Source organism: Homo sapiens, chromosome 5 (genome assembly GCF_000001405.40).
Source record: "Homo sapiens chromosome 5, GRCh38.p14 Primary Assembly".
NCBI classification, from domain to species: domain Eukaryota; kingdom Metazoa; phylum Chordata; class Mammalia; order Primates; family Hominidae; genus Homo; species Homo sapiens.
Window position 1 is genome coordinate 94528477 of NC_000005.10, and position 27653 is coordinate 94556129.

The 27653-nt window shown below is 38.5% G+C and overlaps 1 protein-coding gene across 34 annotated transcripts in view; it reads right to left on the reverse strand.

The window, feature by feature from the left end:
- Window positions 1-27653, reverse strand: part of KIAA0825 — a 467754-nt gene that overhangs the window by 377626 nt on the left and 62475 nt on the right. For 30 of the 34 annotated variants that reach the window (XR_948246.3, NR_169751.1, NR_169752.1 and 27 more), the window contains one exon: window positions 8520-8651. Coding sequence is in view for 28 of the 34 variants with exons in the window: in NM_001145678.3 (NP_001139150.1) it covers window positions 8520-8650 (131 nt within the window). In the remaining 6 variants the exon portion in view is untranslated. Of the gene's footprint in view, window positions 1-1669; window positions 1768-6730; window positions 6865-8519; window positions 8652-22845; window positions 22976-27653 lie in introns of those variants that run through there. The other 4 variants (NR_169753.1, NM_001385724.1, NM_001385729.1 and 1 more) reach the window with 4 other exon arrangements.

Consider the following 27653-nt stretch of genomic DNA (forward strand, 5'->3'; position numbering starts at 1 on the left):
AATCTAAAGTGCTTTCAAAAGAGTCAACCAACTGTGAAATACTCCCCAGAATTCCAGTGGGTGCCGGGTAGTACTGGCAGGACCAAAGTGATCTTGTATTGATAAGAACGAGCTTCCCAACACAGATCACTTCTTCTGCCTCCTAAATCTACATCTAATTTGGATCACTTCTCATAAACTAGTGACAGAAGCAAGATGGAAGTGGCACAGGGCTATGTTAATAATATAAAGAGAAGTTTCTAGAAACATTCTATAGGGCTAGAAGGACATAGTTTAATACCCATTACAATCAAGAATAAGTAAATGTGCTCCTTTTTTTTTTTTAAATCTATAAAGGCTTGCCCAGGAATTTCAGCACAATTTAATGAAGTCAGAATGTGGTTTATCCCAACAAAACCATACAAACTGAAATTAGGAAGAGAAAAGTGGAGGATCTACACCAGCATTTGCCCTGTGCCAACTCCTTTGATTCTCTTTTTGGAGAAAGAGACAGTTAAAAAAAAGAGAGTGGGAGAATGTACGTAATAATGGGAATCCTAAGAGATATGGAAACAGATTAGGTCTACATCTTTATCTCCAATTGTCCTGATTAAATCAATCATTAAGCCAGACAACAGATTTGACGAGAAGCTACATACTGAGGGTTTTAATAATACCTATGGTTTATGTGTGAGGAGGTAGGCATACAGCAAATACTCTCATATATATTATATATATGAAGTAGTATATATATCATATATATGTATGTATCATATATATGTATATATACATATATATGTATATATCATATATATGTATGTATCATATATATGTATATATCATATATATGTATATATCATATATATGTATATATCATATATATGTATATATCATATATGTATATATCATATATGTATATATCTCATATATGTATATATCATATGTATATCTCATATATGTATATATCATATGTATATATCATATATGTATATATGTAGTGTATATATATATTGTGTGTATATAGATACACTAAGTAAAAAAATCTGACCACAGAATGTACATATAATTCCCATTTGTATAAAAATCTATTTTGGGGTACATACATACATGTTTATGTAGAGAATATTTCTAGAAAATTACACAATTATTTATCAAGATAGCTTTCCTCTAAAGAACAAGACTAGGAAAGTCAGAGGAATGGAGAAAGTTTTCCTCTTCACTGCTCTCTCTACTATTTGAAATTTTATCCTGAGTATGTGTTACTTTTATAATGCAAAAATATTTAAGAAAAGGAAAAATGCATTTGAAGATAGCTTCATCTATCATGTTCTATTCATCTAACTTTACACTAGTTTAAGATAAAACAAATGCAATAAATACCTAAGAATCATGTCTAACACACAATTATTGACTATCTTCTAGCCTACTATGTGCCAGGACTGTTTTAGGCAGTGAAAATACAGTGAAGAACAAGTAATATTTTGATTTCCTCAAAGTGGAAATCAAAAGCCTTTTTTAAAAAATGGACTTACTAGCTGGGCATGGTGGCTCACACCTGTAATCCCAGCAGTTTGGGAAGCCAAGGTGGGTGAATCACCTGAGGTCAGGGGTTCGAGACCAGCCTGACCAACATGGTGAAACCCGTCTCTACTAAAAAACTACAAAATTAGCCAGGTGTGCTGGCACATACCTGTAATCCCAGCTACTTGGGAGGCTGGGGCAGAAGAATCGCTTTAACTGGGGAGGCAGAGGTTGCAGTGAGCTGAGATTGCACCATTGCACTCCAGCCTGGGCAACGAGAGTAAAACTCCGTCACAAAAAAAAAAAAAAAAAAAAAAAAGGAATTACTTTTAAATTCCCATTTATTTCTTTATGAATGAGACAGAGTTTCACTATGTTGTCCAGGCTGGATTTGAACTCTTGGGCTCAAGCAATCCTCTGGCCTCAGCCTCCCAAGTAGCTAGGACTACAGGCATGTGCCACCATGCCTGGCTTAAAGAAAAGTCCTTAAAGTAGAAAATAAAGGCAACAGCTTCCAGCCCCTTCCCATCCCAGCTCCTATTCCAGGTCCCATGAAAGGATATTCCTAATTATGGCATTCTAGAATTTGGATTGTGATTAGCAATGGCTGTGGTGTTAGTGACCATTTTTAGACAAGGTGTTGACTCAGCTGAGGCCATGACAAGGGTCTTTTCCTGGCAAAGTTGACAGGCTTGGATTCAATCTCCAGGCACCACCCAACATGAAAGATGAGCCGGCCACAGCAGTCATATCTGTTACCATGGCTCCAGTCCTCTTATAGTGTTCCCTCCCCTGTTTCTGCTTTCAGAGCTGGGCCAGGTCTTCACCAGGCACCTCAGATTGTTACATCAAGGGTCGGGGCTTACTTCCCACTGGCCCATTAACTAAGATCCTCTCTGGGAAATAGTAGTCCAACTACTATTGGCTCGATCTCTTTATGAAGTCTGGATTTTCAGTATCATACTATTCAACTTTTGTTATAACAATTTATAAACAGGGAGACACGTGCTTCCCTTTCCTTATTTGCCATGGAAAGATAATACAATAATATCATTTAGGAATATCCCCAAACAACAATTCTCTATTGTCTTATGCTTATTTGGCCAAGAGTAGGTGAAGCTAACACATTTAAAAATAAAAGCTATACTGTACTTAAAAAAAACTCAAACACTTGAAATGTCCACAACACTTGAAAGAGTCTTGTAACAATTATCCAACAGAGCTACTGACTCCACATTTTACCCTATTCATCTCAGCCTCCTAAAGCAGAGGTCTACAGGAAACACTGAGGACACACTATGTATGATGACGGAGAAAGGAGTAAGTATCACCATAGACAATCAAAATAATAGAACTAATAATGACAGAAAATGATGATGAAAAAATGGTTCAACAGGCCACCATGAGAGAGTCTTTTTCCCACTTACCACCACCTCTACCTGCAAGCATCACTGGACTTCATGCTGAGAGCTTCAGTGGGAGAATTGGAAAAGTTTAAAAAGTAGGAAATATGAATGGGGCCAGAAAAAGTTTAGGCTACTGCGCTGCTGAAGCCCAGGATGCTGTCTGCCCAGGATGCATTCTTAATTCTGGAGAGAACAAGGGTGCTGGAAAGGCCCAGTCAGAGTTGGAAAGTGGGTTAAGGTTTTACTCTGAGTTCAACAGCAGTTGGGGGAATTAGCCCATTTCAGGTTTCTTCCTATGTGGCCTGGTTTGCTCAGTAGGAGGGGAGAAGAGGTAGGGATTCTTTGAGATGTAGTATATAATGAAGAAACCCAAAACTGAAGTGCAAACACAAGAAGTTACAAAAACGATTGCAAACATTAATTTGCATCTTCTTATTATTAAATAAGTGCCACAATACTGCCAGAAATAATAATGCACAGTAAAACCTTTGAAATGACTAATTTTCATTTTGTAGAATTTGCTCTGGCTATAAAATATATTAATATTTGTGTGTGTGTGTGAGTGTGTGTGTATCTACATACATATAAACAGCCATCATACGGAAAACTTGAAAGCAAATTTTTAATATGGAAGCTCAAAAAATTTAAGCATTATATAAAAAATAAGTGTAATCTATGGAATATGTACCATCTCATTAATAGGCATGGTTAAATGTCTCCCCTCTCCCTGCATTTTCTAGGTGAAGTCAAACAGTATTATTGCTGGTAGCAATTCTTATTTTTGAGACAGGGTCTCACATTGTTGCCCAGGCGGTAGCGCAGTGGTGCAACGAGAGCTCACTGCAGTCTCCACCTCCCAGGCTCAAGCGATCCTTCCACCTCAGCACCCCAAGTAGCTAAACCCACAGGGGTGAGCCACCACACCAGCTAATTTTTGTTTTTGTTTTTTGTAGAGACAGTGTTTCGCCATGTTGCCCAGGCTGGTCTCAAATTCCTGAGCTCAAAAGATCTGCACACCACACGCAGCCTCTCAAAGTGCTGCGATTATAGGCATGAGCCCCCACCCGACCTGGTAGCACTTCTTGCTCCTTCCTTCCTCCCTTCCTCCATTTCCTCCCTCCCTCTTTCCTTTTCTTTCCTTTCCTCATTTCCCTTTCCCTTTCCTTTCCTCCCTTCCTTTCCAGACAGCCCTGTTGCCTAAGCTGGAGTACAATAGCGTGTGCAGCCTCAAATTCCTGGGCTCAAGCAATCCTCCCACCTCAGCCTCCCAAGTAGCTAGGACCACAGGTGAGCAACCAACCAAGCCTGGGCTAATTTTTTTTTTTTTTTTTCAGTAGAGATGGGGTATTGCTATGTTGCCCAGGCTAGTTTTAAACTCCTGCCCTCAAGTGATCTTCCTGCCTTGGCCTCCCCAAGTATTGAGATTACATCTTTCTTTAGATTAAAAAAAAAAAAAAAGTAGTCCAGCTGCATTGGTACCAGCAAAACTTACTTCCTAAGCTACACACAGAAGTTGTCTATAATTAGAAAATGAAAATTTTTAAGATACAATTATATTTATCCAACTGAACATTAAGGGGGAAAAATCATTCTGTGTCTTTTTTTTTTTTTTTTGAGACGGAGTCTCGCTCTGTCGCCCAGGCTGGAGTGCAGTGACACTATCTCGGCTCACTGCAAGCTCTGCCTCCCGGGTTCACGCCATTCTCCTGCCTCAGCCTCCTGAGTAGCTGGGACTACAGGCGCCCGCCACCACGCCCGGCTAATTTTTTGTATTTTTAGTAGAGGCAGGGTTTCACCGTGTTAGCCAGGATGGTCTCCATCTCCTCACCTCGTGATCCGCCCGCCTCGGCCTCCCAAAGTGCTGGGATTACAGGCATGAGCCACTGTGCCCGGCCTTTTTTTTTTTTTTTTTGAGACTGAATCTTGCTCTGTTGCCGAGGCTGGAGTGCAGTGGTGTGATCTCGGCTCACTGCAACCACTGCCTCCTGGGTTCAAGCGATTCTCCTGCCTCAGCCTCCTGAGTAGCTGGGATTACAGGTGTGCACCACCACGCCCGGCTGATTTTTGTATTCTTAGTAGAGACAGGGTTTCATCATATTGGCCAGGCTGGTCTCGAACTCCTGACTTTGTGATCCGCCCGCCTCAGCCTCCAAAAGTGCTGGGATTACAGGCATGAGCCACCACATCCAGCCTATGCTGTGTCATATTGTGAGCCCAGAAGAACTTCTGTACCTCAGTATCTTGTTAAACTAATAAGTACCACTCAGTTCATTAGTGCTATATGCAGTTTTCAGTTAGGGAACTAATGATACGGAGGTACAACATTCATAATGTTTCTCTTTGGCATGTTATTTACCTCTTGTTACCTATTTTGATATGTGTTTGAATAAATGATTCATCATCACTAATTTCTGCTGTCAGACCTACTAGTCACCCAGGTCTGACTTGAATGGAAACGAGAATGTAAAAGTGAAGTGGTCTGAGAATGACAGCCTTTCTTGAAGGGCAGGTGAAGGTTCAGTGACCTTTGGGCACACTGGTCCATTCGGGTGAATCACTGCTTTGGGGAGGCAATAGACCCTGTGGCTCATAAAACCTGATGATATTAAGAAGAGAGAAGGAATTCATAAATAGATGTCAGGGTCACTGCTACTTTAAAAATTCAAGTATAAGGAAAAAATATCATATTTTAAAATGAATTACTAATGTTGTTTTTTTCTTTTAAAACTATGGAGGAAAACCTATACCATACAGATGTTCATTACTTATTCAATGTACACTACTGGGAGATAAATAGAACTGTTAGAATACAAAAATGCCAAGGGTAATTCAACTACTGCAGTGTAAGTGTGGCATAACTGATTCGTCATGACATACAATTTTCTAAAAGCTATTCTGTTAGAAGGCAATAAATGAGTGCATAAATGATTTATACTCTTCTGAACCACAGTTATTATTCAGTATTTTATTTTAAAAAATATATATACCCTATACTATTATGTTTATTCTCTGGAGTATAATAAAAACATAATTGAATTTGATGAAAAATAGACTTGATTCTAAATGTAGTATACAGCACATAGAGCTACTTCCTTATTTGGTCCCTTGTGAAGATCAATGGTCACTTGAAGACGTTCTGCTCTAGGTTCGTTTTAATATATGGGCAATAAAATATTTTTAATTTAAAAATTATATCCTATGTTCCATATTGTATTTTCTTTTTAACACTAACATCTGAGTTTTGACCTAATAACTATTTTTTAATGCAAAATACAATGTTTTAATCACTGTTTTACTTTTAAATATGATTTATTTTTGACTAGGTTAGGCAAAAAATTAAGTATGAATGGTTCATAAATAAAAATAAGCAATCCAGAACAAAAGCATCAGAGTTCAGTGACTTGTTTTATTCTGATGGAGCCTAAATGCCATTGTGAAGGAAATGGTTTACCTTTTTAAAAATATTTCAATTTTTAAAACTATAACCATCTCTGAAATTTAGGTAAATGTCTTGTTAATCTATTTAAGTAACACTATTTTCATTTGTAAGTTCCTTTGTGTTAGAAACTGCGTCATAAAATACATAAATATATAACATGAAAGATATAAATACATAATTACCCTATAGTTATTTTATATTTATATGAAATATCAATTATACACTCTCAGTTTGGTTAAGTCTATCTCTAAAATACATATATAATGTGTATATATATAGGTATAGTATAAAGGGCAAATACAAATTAAAAATAAGAAGTTTAATTTTCCCTGTTGAAAATAAGGGAAAAGATTTCCCTCCTCTCCTTTTTCCTTAGAGCATTTACCTTAGAAAGCTTGTAATCATAGGCCAAGCATGGTGGCTCACGCCTATAATCCCAGCACTTTGGGAGGCTGAGGCGGGTGGATCACCTGAGGTCAGGAGTTCGAGACTAGCCTGGCCAATGTCGTGAAACCCTGTCTGTACCAAAAATACAAAAATTAGCTGCGTGTGGCGGCGGGCACCTGTAATCCCAGCTTCTTGAGAGGCTAAGGCACAAGAATCGCTTGAACCAGGCAGGCGGAGGTTGCAGTGAGCCGAAATCGTGCCATTGTACTCCAGCCTGGGTGACTCAAAAAAAAAAAAAAAAAAAAAAAAAAGCTTGTAATCATAAGTACTTTTTCATCTTTTGCCATGTATCTATTCCTCGGAAGACTAGATATGCCGTTTGTCAGCAGTCCTTTTGTCAGCTTTGTGACCCAAGAATGTCTTTCTCAAGAACCTGGGAGCTATCTTCTTGAAATGCAAGCATCAAGGGAGATAGCTCCCCAATCTCCCAGTTCCTGTGGGAGAGTAAGAGCCTAACTTCAGTGGTTGCCTGTTGCAATTTGCAAAACTATCTCCTGTCATAAAGATACAAAAAAGTTTCTTTCTCCTCAGGATAAAGCCAATTAGCTAACACAGGTGGTTTCCCCAATTACCATTGTAAAAAGTTAGGATGAACTATGTGTGACAAAATATGCTATCCAGTCTTCCTACCTGAGGACTAGTGATTGTTTATCTTAATAACATGTAATGTAATGGGCTGTATCTGCTTTGCTATTTAAAGGGGTGGGATTCCCTTCCATTTTTGCAAGCTCTTAGTGAACTGCCTGAAATGCACATCATATTTTGGTTTTTAATGCTTATTCAATAATAAAAGTGTTTCTTTTTCCTTTCTCTACTACCTTCATGGAGAGGATTTCTGGGATGGGAGAAGATTTTGTTTTTAAGTATAATTCTCCAACAATATGCTATCTTTTGAATTTACTTATGCCCATTGTTATAATAAAGAACTAACTATTCTCACGTAAAGCAGAAGGAAAAATATCATAGGACCATTTCACTTACTTGGTTCAGTTTCTTTGGAAATTCAAGGTAACTATATCTTAAATTTTAAAAAAAGAAATGCTATGTATCATTACACAATAGAAATTTTTACTGTGGTTTGCACATTTGTAACCTACATGAGGTAAATTAGAACCTTTGATCAAAAGGATGCAAATAAGTAACTGCCTGATTATAGGGTCCACAACTACATATGAAAACAGAGTCCTTTCTACCAAAGAACACGTATTAATGAGAAACCATTGAGCTGTCACTGTTTCCCCCAGTATTTGGTAACACGACTTTTTGGGATAGGTGATGACTAATCTAGCATAACAACTCTCTATAAAGTCTCTAGCCTCCTACTTAAGTGAGAAAGAATCATAAAATGACCAATATTATGCAAAAATAATTTATTTTAATGTTCTGTTTTTAGTAACTCAAGCAATCAGGGCCTTACACTCTAACCATATTAATGAAAATCCAGGACATCAACATTGACAAGCTCTAAGAAAACATTAGTGCCAATTCAATAAACTTTAATTGCCTATTTCAAGATAGTGCTTCTATTTTCTAGTCTTAAAAATACTACTCAGATAAAGACAATCATGTAAACTTTAAGTGAGAGGGGGGTCTAATCAATATTTTGGGGGAAAGTTAATGATAATTAAAACCTAAAATTATCTAAGAGCAGGATACAAATAGACCAGGTAAATTTCATATAAGTGAAATGTGAAAACAACTTGTTTTAAATAATTAACAATATTTACCTTGCAGCATTTTGTTCAATCTTTTCATCAATGTCACTGAAGATCTGCTCAAACTCCAAGTCTCCAGGAAATGAGTTTAACAAACAATGTAGGTCAAAAGAATTATGAGAATATTCATCATCCCAATCCATTCTGAGGAGCAAGAATAAATAATAAAACATGTCAGTTCCCCCACAATGGCCAGGGATAGGGGTGGGCAGAAATTCACCTCAAGTTGTGATACTAAACCAAAAATAGTAATTCCTATTTACAGGCACAATGAAATATAGCAGTTGGAGAACTAGGGTATTATAAAGCTAGGTAGAATGTTTCATTATTTAAATTTCATGAGGTGTGACCTAATTTTCGCACTTCTGTATTGTTTGAAAGCTGAGGGCCGGGCGCGGTGGCTCACGCCTGTATTCCCAGCACTTTGGGAGGCCGAGGCGGGTGGATCACGAGGTCAGGAGATTGAGACCATCCTGGCTAACATGATGAAACCCGGTCTCTACTAAATGTACAAAAAACTAGTCAGGCGTGATGGTGGGCGCCTGTAGTCCCAGCTACTTGGGAGGCTGAGGCAGAAGAATGGTGTGAACCCAGATGGAGCTTGCAGTGAGCCGCGATTGCGCCACTGCACTGCAGCCTGGGCGACAGAGCAAGACTCTGTCTCAAAAAAAAAAAAAAAAAAAAGAAAGCTGAACAAAACAGCAGCCCTCAGAGACTACTTAAGCATCCTGCAGCTTCTCACTATAGCGAAGAACTGTACTGGAAGTGACAGAGCCCACAGACCACTGTGAACAAGGGTGGGTGCAGCAAAAATTCAATACCTTCCCTCAACCTTTGTCAATATACTCACCTGGAAATTGTAGCCTTAGACTTTTTGAAGCTTCACCCCACTGGGTCTATTTATATGTGAAAGATACAAAACTGTCCTTGAGTTTCTCTAGCACCCCTTGACAACCTCAGCATGGATACCTAACTAAAAACTGAATGATATGATACTCCTTCTTGAGGCACATGTATTTCCCCACCATCAAAGCTTTAATCATTCATTCTCTCTATATACTGAATGTTTGATAGGTTATATACACTGCTGTAGAGGCTGGGATATAGCTGCAATAAATTAAATTCCCTGCCCTCATGGAGTTTTTATTCTAGTGGGGAAGACAGATTTTTTACAAACACATAAACAGATATATTTAATCAAAAATCATACGGTGAGAAGTGCTATAAGAACAAGTAAAACATGGCAATGGGCTAGATTAAGAGTGATGGAGCAAGGACAGAGTGTGAGCTATTTTATTTAGGAATATCAGGGAAGGTCTCTGAGGAGGTGACATTTGAGAAGAAATAAGTGCAGAAGCTATGGGGAAAGAAGTAAGTGGGAAAGACAAACTAGCTTCTTGATTGCTTTGGCCAAGAAATGACTCTTACGACATCTGCTTAAATGTGGTTAAGAGCTCTCTAGTGAGAGCTAGTCACATGACCCTACCTGGCTGCGAAGGTGTCTGGGAAATGCTGCCACTGGCTGGGCATTTGATTCCAGGAAAGCTGTATGCCATGAACGGAGATCACTAACCTTTGGTAGACAGCTAGCCTTTCTGCCACTACCATTCATTTGGTTAAACTTGATTCTCCACTTTCATGCTATTGATTTGCCTCAAATGTCTAAATGATCCATGGTGATCCATTCTTATTTATTGACAAAGGACTAGGTTGATACATATTGGCAGCTAGCAAGGATTTTCTCTACCGTTAAGAGGTTGTTTTATCCAAAAGGTCCTATAACGCCAGAGCAGGAATGTTGATTCAGACGCTACATGAGTGAATGCTGTGTATCTATCAGTGGGTATCTCCTTAGGATTTGTGAACAGAAGCAAGCACATATCTGATGATTTGCACAAGTGACCAACCAAGAGTACATTACAGCTACAGTGGAATTGCCAGAGGTGTGTGAACCAGAGCAACTCCGTCTTGAATAGGAGCTGGGTAAAATAAGGCTGAGACCTACTGGACTTCATTCCCAGATGGTTAAGGCATTCTAAGTCACAGGATGAGATAGGAGGTCAGCACAAAGTACAGATCATAAAGATCCTGCTGATAAAACAGCTTGCAATAAAGAAGTCAGCCAAAACCCATTAAACCAAGATGGCCATGAGAGTAACCTCAGTTGTCCTCACTGCTACACTCCCACTATGCCATGGCAACATCAGGAAGTTACCCTATATGGCCTAGAAAGGGGAGGCATGAATAATCCACCCCTTGTTTGGCATATCATCAAGAAATAATCATAAAAATGGGCAACCAGCAGCCCATGGGGCTGCTCTGTCTATGGAGTAACCATTCTTTTATTTCTCTACTTTCTTAATAAACTTGCTTTCACTTTACTCTATGGACACCCTGAATTCTTTCTTGCACAAGATCCAAGAACCCTCTGTTGGGGTCTGGATCAGGACTCCTTTCCTCTAGCATCTTTCTGGTGACCACAGAATGGACTATAATAAGGAAACCCCCAACCCAAAGGCTAACTTTGGGCAAGTGGTGGGGCCTGGTAACATCTTTCTGGCAAACCCCAAAGGGATGATACTGAAGAAACCCCCCAATCCAAAGGAAATGGACCACAGCACTGATCAGCCAACTCTGGGTAAGTGGTGGGGTACCCGGGTAAATAATGGGATTGGGTTAGAGGCTCAACTTAGGGGAGTCAGAGTCTCTCCTAAGACACTGGGTTAGAGTTCCCTCTTAATAAAAGGCAGGGATGCTTGGCCAACCTTGGGTTAGAGACCCAACTTAGGAGGGTTAGGGTTCCTTATAAGATTTAGGGGTTAGAGGCCCCTCTCGGTAAAGTCCCTTTTGGCTAAGAATGGGTTTGGCACTACGGGATGTGAACTGCTATTCTCTTTGGATTAATCTGCCTTGCACTCTTTGCTGATGGCTATGGGTGACAGCATTAGGCATGTACAGGATCACAGGACATGGGGAGCTTTTCCTCCCCAAAAAGGGAAAAACTTGAGAGCTGATGGAACTGCTGGAAAAGACCCCTTTGTGACCAACAAGTGGCCACTTGAACTTTTGAACAATGGATAGGTCTTTCTCTGGTCTCCCTGAACTCTTCGCCTTCCCCACCCCGCCTGAGGCAATGCTTTCCTTTTTCTCTCTGGGCAAACTGGTTGAATGAATGGTAAAAATCAGTGTTTATCTTCTACAAAGTTTTGATTAATGGGAAAAAGGACTTGTGAAGCTAGTCTTAAGCTGTAGTGAAGCTGGTATACTTTGTGTGTCTTTCTGTATTGTTTTGTCATGAACAGGTGTACCTTAGGATAGAACATGGGCTTAGGACACCTTGTAAGCCCACTTTTCAAGATGGCCCAGCAAACTGTCAAGTTACAAACTTTGCTGCAAGTCCCTGAAAAAAACTGGATAAGGTTTCCCTCTTGTCTTGTATGTCCTTGGGAGCTTGACCTTGTAACCACATGGCAGTACTTTCTCTTGGTCTCTGCCATCACAATGGTGGCCCAGGTTCAGGGTCCAATTCCCGCCTTAGGGAATGAGTCCTCTATCTTCTGTCTGTGTATTTATATGTGTTGTGTGTGATGTTTATATGTGAAAGAGCTTGATTAATTGGCTTAATAATAAGACCTGAAATCAAATATTTTGTCAGAAAAGTAATAAGTGTAATGCCTTTCATTTAGTTCATGTGACTGAAGTAATATTTGGGAAATAAAGACAGTTTTAAACATTATTGGTAAATAAAAATATCTTCAAAAATGTAAACATTGGGTCTAAATTATGTGGGTCAGATATTAAGTTTGCTAAATACTTTAAGGTCATAAACTGCTTAACTTTGAAAAATTATTCAATTTGTTTTGGAGCATTAGACTCTAGATAAGGCCTGGGGATACGTGAAATCAACCATGACCCCTAACTATGCAAAGAAGGTTATGAAGAAAAGAAATTTTATGTAAGAAATGCTCTTGTATATAAATTTTTATCCTAAAGTAAAATAACTGGTTGTTTAAAAAGAGAGATGTTTAGGACAAGTCGGAAGGTCCAAGTACGTCATAGATTGTCTGTGTAAGTTGTGAAAGAATTTATGAAAGGGAATTTATGCAAGAAATGTACAATTTAAAGGTGATTAGGCCTCCTAACTGCTTCATAAAATGTCACTATGACTCTTAACTGTACAACTTGCCTGTTTTACAGCTAGGTAAGGCCTGGGACATGTGGAGTTAGACGCTGGAAAGAGTCAGACCTTATCTGCACTTCTGTCTGGGTCCCAGGCTCCACACCTAGTACAAAATTAAAAATCCCATACTTACCAAGGTTTTTACCAAAAGTAAAAGTCGCTAAGAGTTAACACTTAACATGTAATTGAGACTATTGAAAAACAGTCTACACGCAAGGCCTGTAAGGAAAGTAGAATATGCTTTTGGTAAAAGATTATAGGAAGTCATGGGAATGTGGATTTATTTACTTTTTGGCTAAAGGATTGTTTTAAGTTAGATAAAATAAGGCTGAAGGTTTAAACAAGTTGTGGAAGTTTTGTGAAAAATTAATCTTGTAAAAAAAATTCTGTGTGTGAACATGTTGGCTAAAGTTACAGGGGTATTATTCAGTGTTTCCATACATTGGAATAAAAGTACAACAGGTTTTCCTTAGGGCAAAGACTTGCTTTTAATCTGCTCTTTAACAAAACTTGTAAAGGGTTATAAAAGATTTATGCAAATCTTACCTTATGGTCAAACTGATTAAGATTGAATACATTTGTCTGTAAGGTTTTATTAAGAATTCGGTTTGACACCAATAATGCACTAATGCAACAGTGACATTTAGCTTATTTAGTATAAAGTCATACAGGAAGCATTATCAAATGTAAAATGGTGTTTCATTTTCTTTGGGCTGTATTTGTATAAATATGTTATTGGTATACGTTCCAAAATTATGCAAAACTTATAATTCTAAAATGACTTAGTGTATGTTATTAAATAATTATTACATAAAATTATTGTATGCTACAAAGATAGCTGAATTTCTTTGTCAATTATGTTTTTAACTGTGACTGTCCTAAGATGTTTTGTCATCCACAGACAATTGTTGTCTTGTTTTGGTCCTCTTTAGTAGGTGATTTATGATCAACTATACAACTCTAGCAGATGTTCTTGAATGCAGGTTTTCTGATAACTTTGGAGACTGTGACATCAGAATGGAGGAAAAAACTTTCAGGACTCTCATGGAGAGCTGAAATGTTCATGACTATCAAACACGAGTTAACTGCATTGACTAAACTAATAGAAGTCTAAAATAATCTTTTTAACATTTGGCTTAAAATGTTGCTGATCTTTTGTTTTGTTTTTCAGAATCAAGAAAACTTTTATTTTGAGCTATTTATAGCTTTAAACAATTGAGTAAAGTATACTCCTGTGACCAAAATTTGGGGCATATTTGTTTCTCTCCATGTGATTTCTCCAGAATTTGGAAACTATTTGTGAATGTTCTTAATTTATGGCAATATAGTTATTTGCATAAGTGCAATAAGAATCTGTTTTCGGCCGGGCACAGTGGCTCATGCCCGTAGTCCCAGCACTTTGGGAGTCCGAGGCAGAGGGATCACCTGAGGTCAGGAGTTTGAGACCAGCCTGGTCAAAATGGCAAAACTCCGTCTCTACTAAAAATACAAAAATTAGCCGAGCATGATGGTGGGTGCCTGTAATCCCAGCTACTCAGGAGACTGAGGCAGGAGAATCACTTGAACCTGGGAGGCAGAGGTTGCAGTGAGCCAAGATCGTGTCATTGCACTCCAGCCTGGGTGACGGAGCGAGATTCCCTCTCAAAAAAAAGAAAGAAAAAAAAAGAATCTGTTTTCATTTGTAACAGGACATAAAGGACACAATAACCAGTTTCTGGTATTTTACCAAGGCTTTGACTGGAATGGTGTCCATTCCTTTAAGGAATCAAACTTGACTTGTAAAGCCAATAAAAGCCTTTTGGAGAACTGGCCTCATACCTTGTCTACACAGTCTCTGCACACAGTGTTTCTGTCCTGTGGTAAGTAAAGAATGTCACTTTCTAATAGAGCCAGGAGTTCCAAGTTATCTTGGGACCTTAAAAGGAGAGGAATTTACTCAACTCATAGGTATTTGAGGGTACAAGCCCATGACTTGGCTTGGCTTTAAAAAAGTCTTGAGGTCAGGTGTAGTGGCTCATGCCTGTAATCCCAGCATTTTGCGAGGCTGAGACAGGAGGATCTCCTGCAGTTGGGAGTTTGAGACCAGCCTGGCCAACATGGCAAAACCTGGTATCTACTAAAAGTACAAAAATTAGCTGAGTGTGGGGCACATGCCTGTAATCCCAGCTACTCAGGAGGCTAAGGCAGGAGAATTGCTTGAGCCCAGGAGGCAGAGGTTGCAGTGAGCTGAGATCATGCCACTGTACTCCAGCCTGGATGACAGAGTGAGACTCTGTCTCAATAAATAAGTAAATAAATAAAAATAAAAATAAAATAAAAAAGGCTTGAGATTCCTCACTGATGCTTGAGAAAATAAAATTTAAAAGTCTTGAGATTCCTTACTGATTCCTACTGATGCTTTCTGACTGAGCTCCTCTCTACCCTGAACACAGGAGACCCTAATAGTTAGGCAGGAATATCATCACCCCTATTCAGCCTGAAGAAGTTATGGAAGATGGATCTTCCTCCCTCTGCAACACTTAGGATTAAGGGCTAAGGGTTAAAATAGCTTTCAGTAGGATTAAGTTTAGGATTAAGGGCTAAGGGATAAAACAGCTTACAGTAAAGAAGCCAGCCAAAATCCATCAAAACCAAGATGGCCACAAGAGTGACCCCGGTCATCCTCACTGCTACACTCCCATCAGCACCATGACAGTTTACAAATGCCACAGCAACATTAGAAGTTACCCTATATGGTCTAGAAAGGGAAGGCATGAATAATCCACCCCTTGTTTAGCATATCATCAAGAAATAACCATAAAAATGGGCAACTAGCAGCCCACGGGTCTGCTCTGTCTATGGAGTAGCCATTCTTTTATTCCTCTACTTTCTTAATACACTTGCTTTCACTTTACTCTATGGACTCACCCTGAATTCTTTCTTGTGCAAGATCCAAGAACCCTCTCTTGGAGTCTGGATAGGGACCTCTTTCCTGTAACGGAATAATTTATTTTTCTCACTGTGGATTAGTTCTGCTTCTTTGTTCTTTCCCATGCCTTGGTAGAGGCCCAGAAGTAACCTAGAATCTGTTCTGCTTCTCATATTGTGTTCAACACTCATAGCTGTATGTGCTAACCACCTAGATTTTCAACTTTGTTGAGAAAACATTTCAAGGAAGCAAATGCTATGGCATAATGAGAAGAAGGGGCTAAACTATTTGGCTGCTCATAAACACTTCTTCAGAGCCTTCCCTCCTTGATGACTACCCTGTAGCCTACTTCATTCTGTTATTTTTGTCTTTGAAGTTGGCATTACTCCAGGGAATGGCTCTTACTACCATAGCAACTTCCTCTTTTGCATGTTGTAGAGTGTTGTTTCCATGCCTCCAGTTTATTCATTGGTCTGAGCCTCTTTACTTTCTATCTTCCAGAAATATCCCAATGGCACCTCAAATTTCTTTCAGGTTTGCTTTACTACATGTCTTTACTGACATTTCAATAGGATTTCAGGAGGGAAGAAAAGTAAATATATGTGCTTAGTCCTCTATCTTCAGAATTTTCTACCTTTTAATGTCTCATACTAAGGCAAATATGCAAAAAATTATGAGACTTTTGAACATCTGAAATTGATGTACAGAGTGTCAGGAAGGCAGAGCAAGAAGGCTGAATAGAAGATGTCACCAAGGGTTCTCCGTGCAGGAAAACCAAATTTTAACAACTAAGTACACACAAAAAGCAGTGTTATAAGAGCCAAAAATCAGGTAAAGTTACGTGGCTTTAACTTCCTATCACTGAAAGAGACACCGAGAGGATAGAAAACACATTGCTGACGTCACCCTCCCTCATCCCTTGGCAGCAACCACATAGTGTGGAAAGACAATCTATGCACTTAGAAGAGGGAGAGCACAGTGACTGGGGTGGGGGTTGGGGGGCTGGCACTGAACTCCGTGCTGCCCTGTCACAGTGGAGAGCAAAGCTGTGCTGGGCTCAGCTGGCACCCACCCATGGAGGGAACATTTGAACCAGCCATGGCCAGAAGGGAATCTCCCATCCCAGCGATCAGAACTTGAGTTTCTCTGCAATCGTTGCCACCACAGGCTGCGGTGCTCTGGGGTCATAAACTTGAAAGGGAGTCTAGGATACAAGGATGGCTATTCCTAAGCACACCCTTGTGCTGTGCTGGGCTTAGAACCAGTGGATTAAGGCAGTATATGACCTAAGGAGACACCAGCTGGGGCAGCTAAGGGAGTGCTTGTGCCACCCCTCCCCCAACCCCAGGCAGCACAGCTCACAGCTGCAAAAGATACTCATTCCTTCTGCTTAAGGAGAGGAGAGTGAAGAGTAAAGAGGACTTTGTCTTGCATCTTGGATACTAGCTCAGCAACAATAGTACAGGGTACCAGGCAGACTTGTGAGGTCCCTATTCCAGGACCTAGTTCCTAGATGACATTTCTAGACAAATCCTGGGCCAGAAAGAAACCAGCTGCCTTGATGAGAAGGACCCAGTCCTGGCAGGATTCATCACCTGCTGACTAGAGAGCTCTTGATCCCTGGATAACTAACAACGCTATCCAGGTAGTATACTGTGGGCCTCAGGTGAGATTCTTAGATATGTTGACTTTAGGTGAAACCTTGCATATTCCCAGCTGTGATGACTATGGTGAAAGACTCCTGCTTGAGAAAAACAGGGGGAAAAGTAAAAGGGACTTAGTCTTGCTCTTTAGGTATGAGCTCAGCCACAGTGGGGTAGAGCACTAAGTGGGCTCTTGAGGTCCCCAAGTCGAGGCCTAGGCTCTTGGATGGCATTTCTGGCCCTGCCCTGGGCCAGATGGGAGTCCACTATCCTGAAGGGTGAGTCTCATGCCTGGCAACATTCACGACAAGCTGACTGACTGAAGAGCCCTTGGGCCCTATGGGAACATTGGCTGTAGCCTGGCAATACTCCATTTGGGCCTGTGGTGATTGTGGCCACAGAGTGAGGCTCCTCTGCCTGTGGAAAGGGGAAGGAACAGTGGGAAGGACTTTGTCTTGTGGTTTGAGGGCCAGCTTAGCCACAGTAGAACAGAACACCAGATAGATTTCTAAGGGTTTTGACTCCAATCCCTGGCTCCAAGACAGTAGCTATGAACCCACCTACAGCGTGGGGGAACTTACTGCCCTGAAGGGAGGGTACAAACCTCACTGGCTTCCCCACCTGTTGTATAGAGATTCCTAGGGCCTTGAGTGAACATAGGTGATAACCAGTTAGTGGTTACAGCAGCCCTTAGGCAAGACCCAGCGCTGTGCTGGCTTCAGGTCTGACCCAAGGAAGTTCTAGTGGTGGTGGCCACAGGGGTGCTTATATTACCCCACCCCCAGCTCCAGGTGGCTCAGCACAGAGAGAGAGAGAGAGAGAGAGAGACTCAGGGTGTTTAGGAGAAAGTAAGGGAGGAGAACATGAGTCTCTGTTTGATAATCTAGTGAATTCTCCTGGATCATATCAAAGATTACCAAGGTGGTACCTCTATAAGATTGCAAGAACCATAGTGTAACTGGGCATGGGGCCCAAGTCCCTTCAAATACCTGGAAAGCATTCCCAACAAAGACAGGCACAAACAAGCCCAGCCTGTGAAGACTACAATAAATACCTAATTATTCTATGTCCAGGCACCAAAAAAAAAAAAAAAAAAAAAAAATCCGCAAGCATCAAGACCATCCAGGAAAACATGACCTCACCCAATGAACTAAATAAGGCACCAGAGACCAATCCTAGAGAAAAACCTATATGTGACATTTCAGAGAATTTAAAATAGCTGTGTTGAGGAAAATCAAAGAAATTCAAGATAACGCAGAGAAGGAATTCAGAATTTTATCAGATAACTTTAACAAAGAGATTAAAATAAAAAGAATCAAGCAGAAATTCTGGAGTTGAAAAATGTAATTGACATACTGAAGAGAGCATTGGAGTCTCATAAAAGCAGAATTGACCAAGCAGAAGAAAGAATTAGTGAGCTCAAAGACAGCCTATTTGAAAATACACAGTCAGAGGAGACAAAAGAAAAAAGAATAAAAAATAATGAAGCAGGCCAGAAGATCTAGAAAATAGCCTGAAAAGGGCAAATCTAAGAGTTATTGGCCTTAAAGAGAGAAAGAAAGGGGCAGAAAGTTTATTGAAAGAAATAATTTTAAAAATGGCACCTCAAACTTAGAGAGGTATATCAACATTCAAGTTCAAGAAGGTTATAGAACACCAAGTAGATTTAACCCAAAGAAGACTACCTCAAGGCATTTAATAATCAAACTCCCAAAAGTCATAGATTAAAAAAAAAGAATCCTGCTGGGCGCAGTAGCTCATGCCTGTAATCCCAGCATTTTGGGAGGCCAAGGCGGGTGGATTGCCAGGTCAGGGGTTCAAGACCAGCCTGGCCAACATGGTGAAACCCCGTCTCTACTAAAGATACAAAAAATTGGCCAGGCATGGTGGCACAAGCCTGTAACCCCAGCTACTCAGGAGGCTGAGGCAGGAGAATCACTTGAACCCGGGAGGCGGAGGTTGCAGTGAGCCAAGATTGAGCCAGTGCACTCCAGCCTGCACGACAGGGTAAGACTCCCTTTCAAAAAAAAAAAGAATCGTAAAAGCAGCAATAGAAAATAAACAAATAACATACAACGGAGCTCCAGTATGTCTGGCAGCAGACTTTGAAACCTTACAAGCCAGGAGAGAGTGGCAGGATATACCTAAGGTACTGAAGGAAAAAAAAAACAAAAAAACCTTTTACCCTATAATAGTATATCCTGCAAAAATATGCTTCAAGCATGAGGAAAAAATGAAGATTTTCCCAGACAAAAGCTGACAGAGTTCATCAACTAAAGACCTGACCTACAAAAAATGATAAAGGGAATTCTTCAAACTAAAAGAAAAAGATGTTAATGAGCAAGAAGAAATCATCTGAAGACACAAAACTCACTGGTAATTGTAAGAACAAAGAAAACACAGAATATTATAACAATGTAATTGTGGTATGTAAATTACTCATATCTTAAATAGAAAGACTAAATGATGAATGAATTGAATAATAATTAAAACAACTTTTCAAGATGTAGACAGTACAATAAGACATAAGGAGAAACAACGAAAAGTTAAAAAGCTGATGAACTAAGTTTTTACTAGTTTTCTTTTTGCTTGCTTATTTATGCAATCAGTGTTTAGTTGTCATTAGTCTAAACTAATGGGTTATAGGATAGTATTTGCAAACCTCACAGTAACCTCAAATCTAAAAAACATACAGTGGATACACAAAAAATAAATGCAAGAAATTAAATCAGATCCCCGTAGAAAATCACCTTAACTAAAAGCAAGAGAGGAAGGAAGGAAAGAAGGAAGAGATAACCACAAAACAACCAGAAAACAAACAATAAAATAGCAAGAGTAAGTCCTTACTTATCAATAATAGCACTGAAAGTAAATGGACTAAACTCTCCAATCAAAAGACATACAGTGGCTGAATGGATAAAAAACCAAGACCCAGTGGTGTCCTGCCTACAAGAAATACATTTCATCTATAAAGATACACAAAGACTGAAAACCGAGGGATGGAGAAAGATATTCCATGTCAATGGAAACAAACAAACAAACAAACAAAAGGCAGCAGTAGATATACTTGTATCAGACAAAATAGATTTCAAGACAAAAACTGTAAGAAGAGACAAAGAAGGTCATTATATTATGATAAAGGGGTCAATTCACCAAGATGATACACCAATTATAAATATATATGCACCCAACACTGGAGCATCCAGATATTATAATAAGCAAATATTATTAGAGCTAAAGAGAGAGAGAGACCTCAATACAATAATAGCTGGAGACTTCAACACCTTACTTTCAGCATAGGACAGATCTTACAAAGAGAAAATCAGCAAAGAAACATTGAACTTAATCTGCACTATAGAACAAATGGTCCTAATAGATATTTATAGAATTCCTTTATCCAATGGCTGAAGAATACATTTTTTCAGTGTATTTCGCTCCTCAGCACATAGATCATTCTTAAGGAAAGACCATACGGTAGGTCACAAAACAAGGCTTAAAAGATTCAAAAAAATGAAATAATATCAAGCATCTTCCCTGACCACAATGGAATAAAACAAGAAATTAATAATAAGAGGAATTTTGAAACTGTACACTCACATGGATATTAAATAATATGCTCCTGAATGACCAGTGGGTCACTGAAGAAATTATGAAGCAAATTAAAAAATTTCTTGAAACAAATGATAATGGAAACACAACATACCAAAATCTATGGGAGCTGGCGCGGTGGCTCATGCCTGTAATTCCAGCACTTTGAGAGGCTGAGGCAGGCAGATGCCCTGAGGTCAGGAGCTCAAGACCAGCCTGGCCAACATGGTGAAACCCTATCTCTACTAAAAAATACAAAAATTAGCCGGATGTGGTGGCAGGTGCCTGCAATCCCAGCTACTTGGGAGGCAGAGGCAGGAGAATTGCTTGAACCCAGGAGGCAGAGGTTGCAGTGAGCCGAGATTGAGCTACTGCACTTCAGCCAGCCTGGGCCACAGAGTGAGACTCCATCTCAAAAAACAAAAACAAAAACAAAGAAACAAAACTATGGAATATAACGAAAGCAGTACAAAGAGGGAAATTCATAGCTTTAAGTGCTTACATCAAAAAAGAACAAAAACTTCAAATAAATAACCAAATGATGCATTAAGAACTAGAATAGCAAGAGCAAACTAGACTCAAAATTAGTATAAAAAAAGAAATAATAAACATCAGAGTGGAAATAAATGAAACTGAAACAAAGAAAACAATAGAAAAGATCAATGAAACAAAAAGTTGGCTTTTTGAAAAGATAAAATGGACATCAACAGAGGACTGGATAAACAGAATGTGGTACATATACACAATGGAGTACTCTTCAGCCATAAAAAAGAACGAGATCCTGTCATTTGCAACAACATGGATGAAACTGGAGGTCATTATGTTAAATGAAAAAAACCAGGCACAGAAAGACAAACATCATATGTGCTCACTTACCTGTGGAAGCTAAAAATTAAAACTCTGGTCCTGCACAGCTGGGAAACCAATCTGTGCCACCTGCATTTCTAGCCAGAGAAACAATTTGGTGGACTTCCCCAGGGTGAACTCACCTTTATACTGGCCAAACTACTGCACACCTTCATCCAACCTGGAAAGGCCCCCAAACTGAACATAGATTACACTACTGTGTGAACCTATAACCAAAGTCAAAGCACCCCACCCAACTGACACCGCAAGACCCATCTATAGGAATAAATCTTTCTCTATGAAAGCTACTCCATTAAATTGGAAGAGGCAACTATTACATCAGATGTGAAGAAATCAACATAGGGACATATCAAACATAAAGAAAGGAAACATGACACATTTGAAGAAACACAATAATTCACGGTAGCTCACACCTGTAATCCCAGCACTTTGGGAGGCCGAGGCAGGCGGATCACGAGGTCAGGAGACCGAGGCCATCCTGGCTAACACAGTGAAACCTCGTCTCAACTAAAAATACAAAAAATTAGCCAGGCATGGTGGCGGGTGCCTGTAGTCCCAGCTACTTGGGAGGCTGAGGCAGGAGAATGGCGTGAGCCCGGGAGGCGGAGCTTGCAGTGAGCCCAGATCGCACCACTGCACTCCAGCCTGGGCGACAGAGCGAGACTCTATGTCAAAAAAAAAAAAAAAAGCAACACAATAATTCTCCAGTAGTAGACACTAATCACAAGGAACTACATAAAATGCCAGAAAAAGTATTCAAAATAATAAAACTCACTCATATATAAGAGAATATAGACAGATAATTCCATAAAATCAAGATAATACTTTGTGATTTGAATGAAAAATTCAACAAAGTGATAGATATCATAAATATGAGCCAAACAGAAATCTTAGAGCTGAAGAATTCCAGAAATAAAATAAAAATATAACATAAAGCTTTAACAACACACTAGACCAAGCAGAAGAAAGAATACCTGAACTTAAAGACAGGCTTTTGAAATAATACAGGAAGAAAAAAAAATGCAGAAAGCCTTCAGGGTTTATGGGACACAATTAAATGTACTAATTTTCACATTATGGGAGTTCCAGAAGGAAAAGAGAAGGACAAAGATATACAAACCTTATTTAATAAAATAATAACTGAAAATTTACCAAGTCCTGGGAGAGACGTGAACATCCAGATCCAGGAAGCTCAAATATCCCCAAAAAGTTTCAGTTCAAACAGATCCTCCCTGAGGCATATAGTAGTGAAATTGTCAAAAGTCAAAGACAAAAAATAATTCTAAAAACGGCAAGAGAAAAGCATTAAGTCATATTTAATGCAATCCCCAATGGACTAAGAGCAGATTTCTCAGCAGAAATCTTACAAGCCTGGAGAGAATGGGATAATATATTAAAAATATTGAAAGAAAAAAACTGCTGGACAATAATAATACACCCAGCAAACCTATCCTTCAGAAATGGAGAAACAGTCTTTCCCAGGCAAGCAATAACAAAGGAAACTCATTGACATATATTGGCCTTATATTAAATACTTAAGGGAGTCCTACATCTGAATGTGAAAAGATGGTAACTACCACCATGAAAATACTCAAAATTATAGAACTCACTGGTAGAAAAGGAGAAAGAAAAAGGAATCAAACTTTAACACTACAGAAAAACCATCAAACTGCAAAAATAAATAGAGAGAAATTAAGGGAAAAAATATATACAAATAAACAAGAAAATAATACAATAACAGGAGTAAGTCCTCACTTATCAATAATAACCTTGAATGAAAATGGATTCAATTCCTCAATCAAAAAATATAGAAATGGATCAAAGAACAAGACCCAACTATATACTGCCCACAAAAAAACTACCCTCATCTGTAAAGACACACAGACTGAAAGTGAAGAGATGGAAAAAGATATTCCACACAAAGAGAAACCAAAAGCAAGCAGAAATAGCTATAGTTATATCAGATAAAAATACTTCAAGTAAAAACTCTAAAAAGAGAAAAGGAATGACATTATACAATAATAAAGGGATCGGTTTAGCAAAAGTATATAACAATTCTAAATATATATGCACCCAACATCTGAGTAACTAGATATAAAAGGCAAATATGAGATGTAAAAGGAGACACAGACTGCAATGCAATAATAGTTGGGGGCTTCAACATCTCGTTCTCAGCACTGGAAAGATCATCTAGACAGAAAATCAACAAAGAAACATTGGATTTAAACAGACAAAATAGACCTAATAGATATGTACAGAAAATCCCACTAAACAGTTGCAGAATACACATTCTTTTCATCAGCACATGGAACATTCTTCAGGACTGACCATATGTTAGGACACAAAACAAATCTCAAAATATTTTAATAATTGAAATCTTATCAAGTACCTTTTCTTATCACAATGGAATAAAACTAGAAATCAACAAGAGAAACTTTGGAACGTGTACAAATACATAGAAAAGAAACAACATGTTCCTGAATGACCAATGGGTGAAGAAAGATATTATGAAGAAAATTTAAGTTTCTTGAAACAAATGAAACATGGCAACATGGATGAGTCTGGAGGATACCATGTTAAATGAAATAAGCCAGGAACAGAAAGTTAAACACCGCATGCTAACACTTACATATGATAGCTAAAAAAGCTGATTTCATAGAAGTGAAGAGTAGAACAGAGGTTAGTAGAAGCTGAGAAAGGTAAGGGGTAAAGAAAGGAAGTCATTTGTTAAAGGACACAAAATTACAGCTAGATAGGAGGAATAAGTTTGAATCTTCTATGGCACTGTAAAATTCCCATAGTTAATAATATACTATATATTTTCAAATAGCTAGAAGAGAAGTTAGGAAATGTTCCCAACACAAAGAAATGTAAATGTTTGGGATGATGGATCGACTAATTACTCTGATTTGAATACTATATGTTGTATTTACTGAAACATCACTATGTACCCATGTACAACGATTGTCAATAAAAAAATAAGTAAAGGCTGGGCGGAGTGACTCACGCCTGTAATCCCAGTACTTTGGGAGGCGGAGGCGGGTGGATCACCTGAGGTCAGGATTTCAAGACCAGCCTAACCAACATGGTGAAACCCTGTCTCTACTAAAAATACAAAAAATTAGCAGGGCATGGTGGTTGGCGCTTGTAATCCCAGCTACTCGGGAGGCTGAGGCAGGAGAATCGCTTGAACCCAGGAGGCAGAGGTTGCACTGAGGCGAAATCACACCATTGCACTCCAGCCTGGGTGACAAGAGCAAAACTCCATCTAAAAAAAAAAAGAAAAAAAAAAAGTAAAAAAAAAATATTTACGGCTGGGCGCAGTGGCTCATGCCTGTAATCCCCAGCAATTTGGGAGGCCAAGGCGGGTCGATCACCTGAGGCCAGGAGTTTGAGATCAGCCTGGTCAACATGGTGAAACCCCATCTCTACTAAAAATACAAAAAATTAGCCGGGCATGGTGGCAGACGCCTGTAATCCCAGCTACTCAGGAGGCTGAGGCAGGAGAATTGCTTGAACCTGGGAGGCGGAGGCTGCCGTGCGCCAAGATCGCGCCATTGCACTCCTTCCTGAGCAACAAGAAGGAGACTGTTTAAAAAAACAACCAAAAAAAAAAAACAAAAAGAAAAAAAAATTTAAAAATGAGGCAGGTAGATTAGGCTCTCAGTTTTCTTCCAGCTATAAAATCGTGATGTTCTCTAAGAAACAGCATGAGAAGGACATATTTCTGAACCCAAATCAGCTCTTCAACGGACTTGACTATTTTGTTCATCAATACTACCATTTTTCTTGTCCCTTGGACTGTCAGAGCCACTTTTGACTTTTCCCATTTCCCTTCCCTAGGCACACAACACAGAAAGCTGAAGTAGAATCTACAGCTTAGCAAGAAATAATTTGTGAAAAAATAAAATGTGCGGCAGCAAGATATTCTTCTATGGTGATAGGAGAGATCCCCTGTATAATCCCTGAAACTCTAAGCTCCATAAAATATTCTATGAGGCAGTAATCTCATGTTCCCAGGTTCCCCTGACTTGGCAGACTCCTTACTCAACAAAAGATGTCTGAGACCAACTCAGACATCTTTATGGCATGCCATCACACGGAAAAGGGGTAACATTAGGGAATCATACCTTCACAGGCCATCATGTATTCTTGATCTATTTATTCCTTATATTCTCTATATTATTTGTATTATTCTTTGTATTGCTGGTTTGGTTTGTGTTGCTGGCTTGGTAATAAAGCAAAGTGAAAATAAACCGACCCGGTCACCATTCTTAAATATGCACCAGCCTTTTCTTCTGGCCTGGCTCATTTTTATTTTGCCATTCATATTTAGTCAGAAAGTAATATTCCTATATCATTTACAAAGTCCTGCCAAGATTAAAAAATTCAATATTTAATTTTTACCAAATCTTGGAAAATATATGTAATTCAGTGATCTCATTCATTGAGACCTGGATTAAAGCTAAAATGGCTAAATAATAATAGTAATGATAACAGCCGACTCTTTTGTAGCACTTATATGAGCCAGGCATTGTTCTGTGTACTATATATATATATATATATATATATATATATATATATATATATATGAATTCATTTAATTCTTAACATAAACAGATAGATAATATTATAATCTTATTAAAGATATGGAAACTGAGGCACAGAATGGTTCATGACTTGTCCAAGGTCACTTAGATATGAAGTGGCAAAGCTGGGATTCCTATTGCTTCAAGGGCTGTCCTGAATCATAATGCTATAAATTGCCTCTCTATATAGACTTCAACTTTTACAAAAAATTAATATTTTACCTCTTATATATGTTGATTTATTTTTCTGCCATATACATTTGACAGTTTTCCCTAGAACTATTATAAATGTCCTTCATTGTGAAATCTACATAATTGCAAAAACAAAAACAAAAAACAAAACATAAAAAACAACATCATCGACTTTTTTAAAGGCCAGAGCTTACTTGTAATATTTTAGGGTTGCCTGAAATTTCTTTCTTCTCATTAATTACTGGGAGTTGAGATTTTAATGTTTTAGCCTTCCCCCAATGACTACATAAACACTCCAGTGGATCTTAATTTGTTGATAGTCATTTAAAACCCTTAGATATTGAAGTCATATTAGGAAACAAAGAACTTGTTATTCCATTCAATTTATTTTCTCAACTCTTATCTATATATTAGATTTTCTTATATAGACTGCTATGCTTTCTGCTAATAACTGTGGAAGTTCTGATTACTATAATTATGTAAACTAGATTATCTATATATATCTGGTAAGTACTCGTATTAATATACTATGACTATTAAAATTCCTCCATTTAAAATATAAGATACTCCACTGTAACTCCTATTAATTATTTATATATGTGTGTGTATGAAGTAGAAATTGACAGGATCAGTCAGAATACACTATTGTAGCTTGACAAGCAAACAGAATTAATTGTCATGTGATTTGCTCACCAATTCTGACATTGCTTTATTTTTCAATGCAGTTCTCTTTCTATATAATATTCTCATTTTAATAACTTTATAATTTTCAATATGCAATCCTAGCCATCTCTTGCTTTAATGGAAGGTGAAACCAAGATAATATAAATTTTAATGTTAGCATTCCTTTATAACTGGCACTCATATATTTCACATGATTTCAAAGTCATAAAATTGCTGTATCTGTTGAGATTAGACCTAAATAATGTCACAGATCATGAGATTAATGATATTAACTAATGAATTTTCAAGTATAGTAAAAGTTTATTAACTTGAAGATCTGCATTAGTAGAAAATTTAAGTTATGGAGCACTTTTTAAAAGGCAGTTTTGTATTATGTATCAACTGGGAATAATAATAAATACAGTTTATGAGACATCAATTACTTTTTTTTTTTTTTGAGACAGAGTCTCACTCTGTTGCCCAGGCTGGAGTGCAGTGGTGCGATCTCAGCTCACT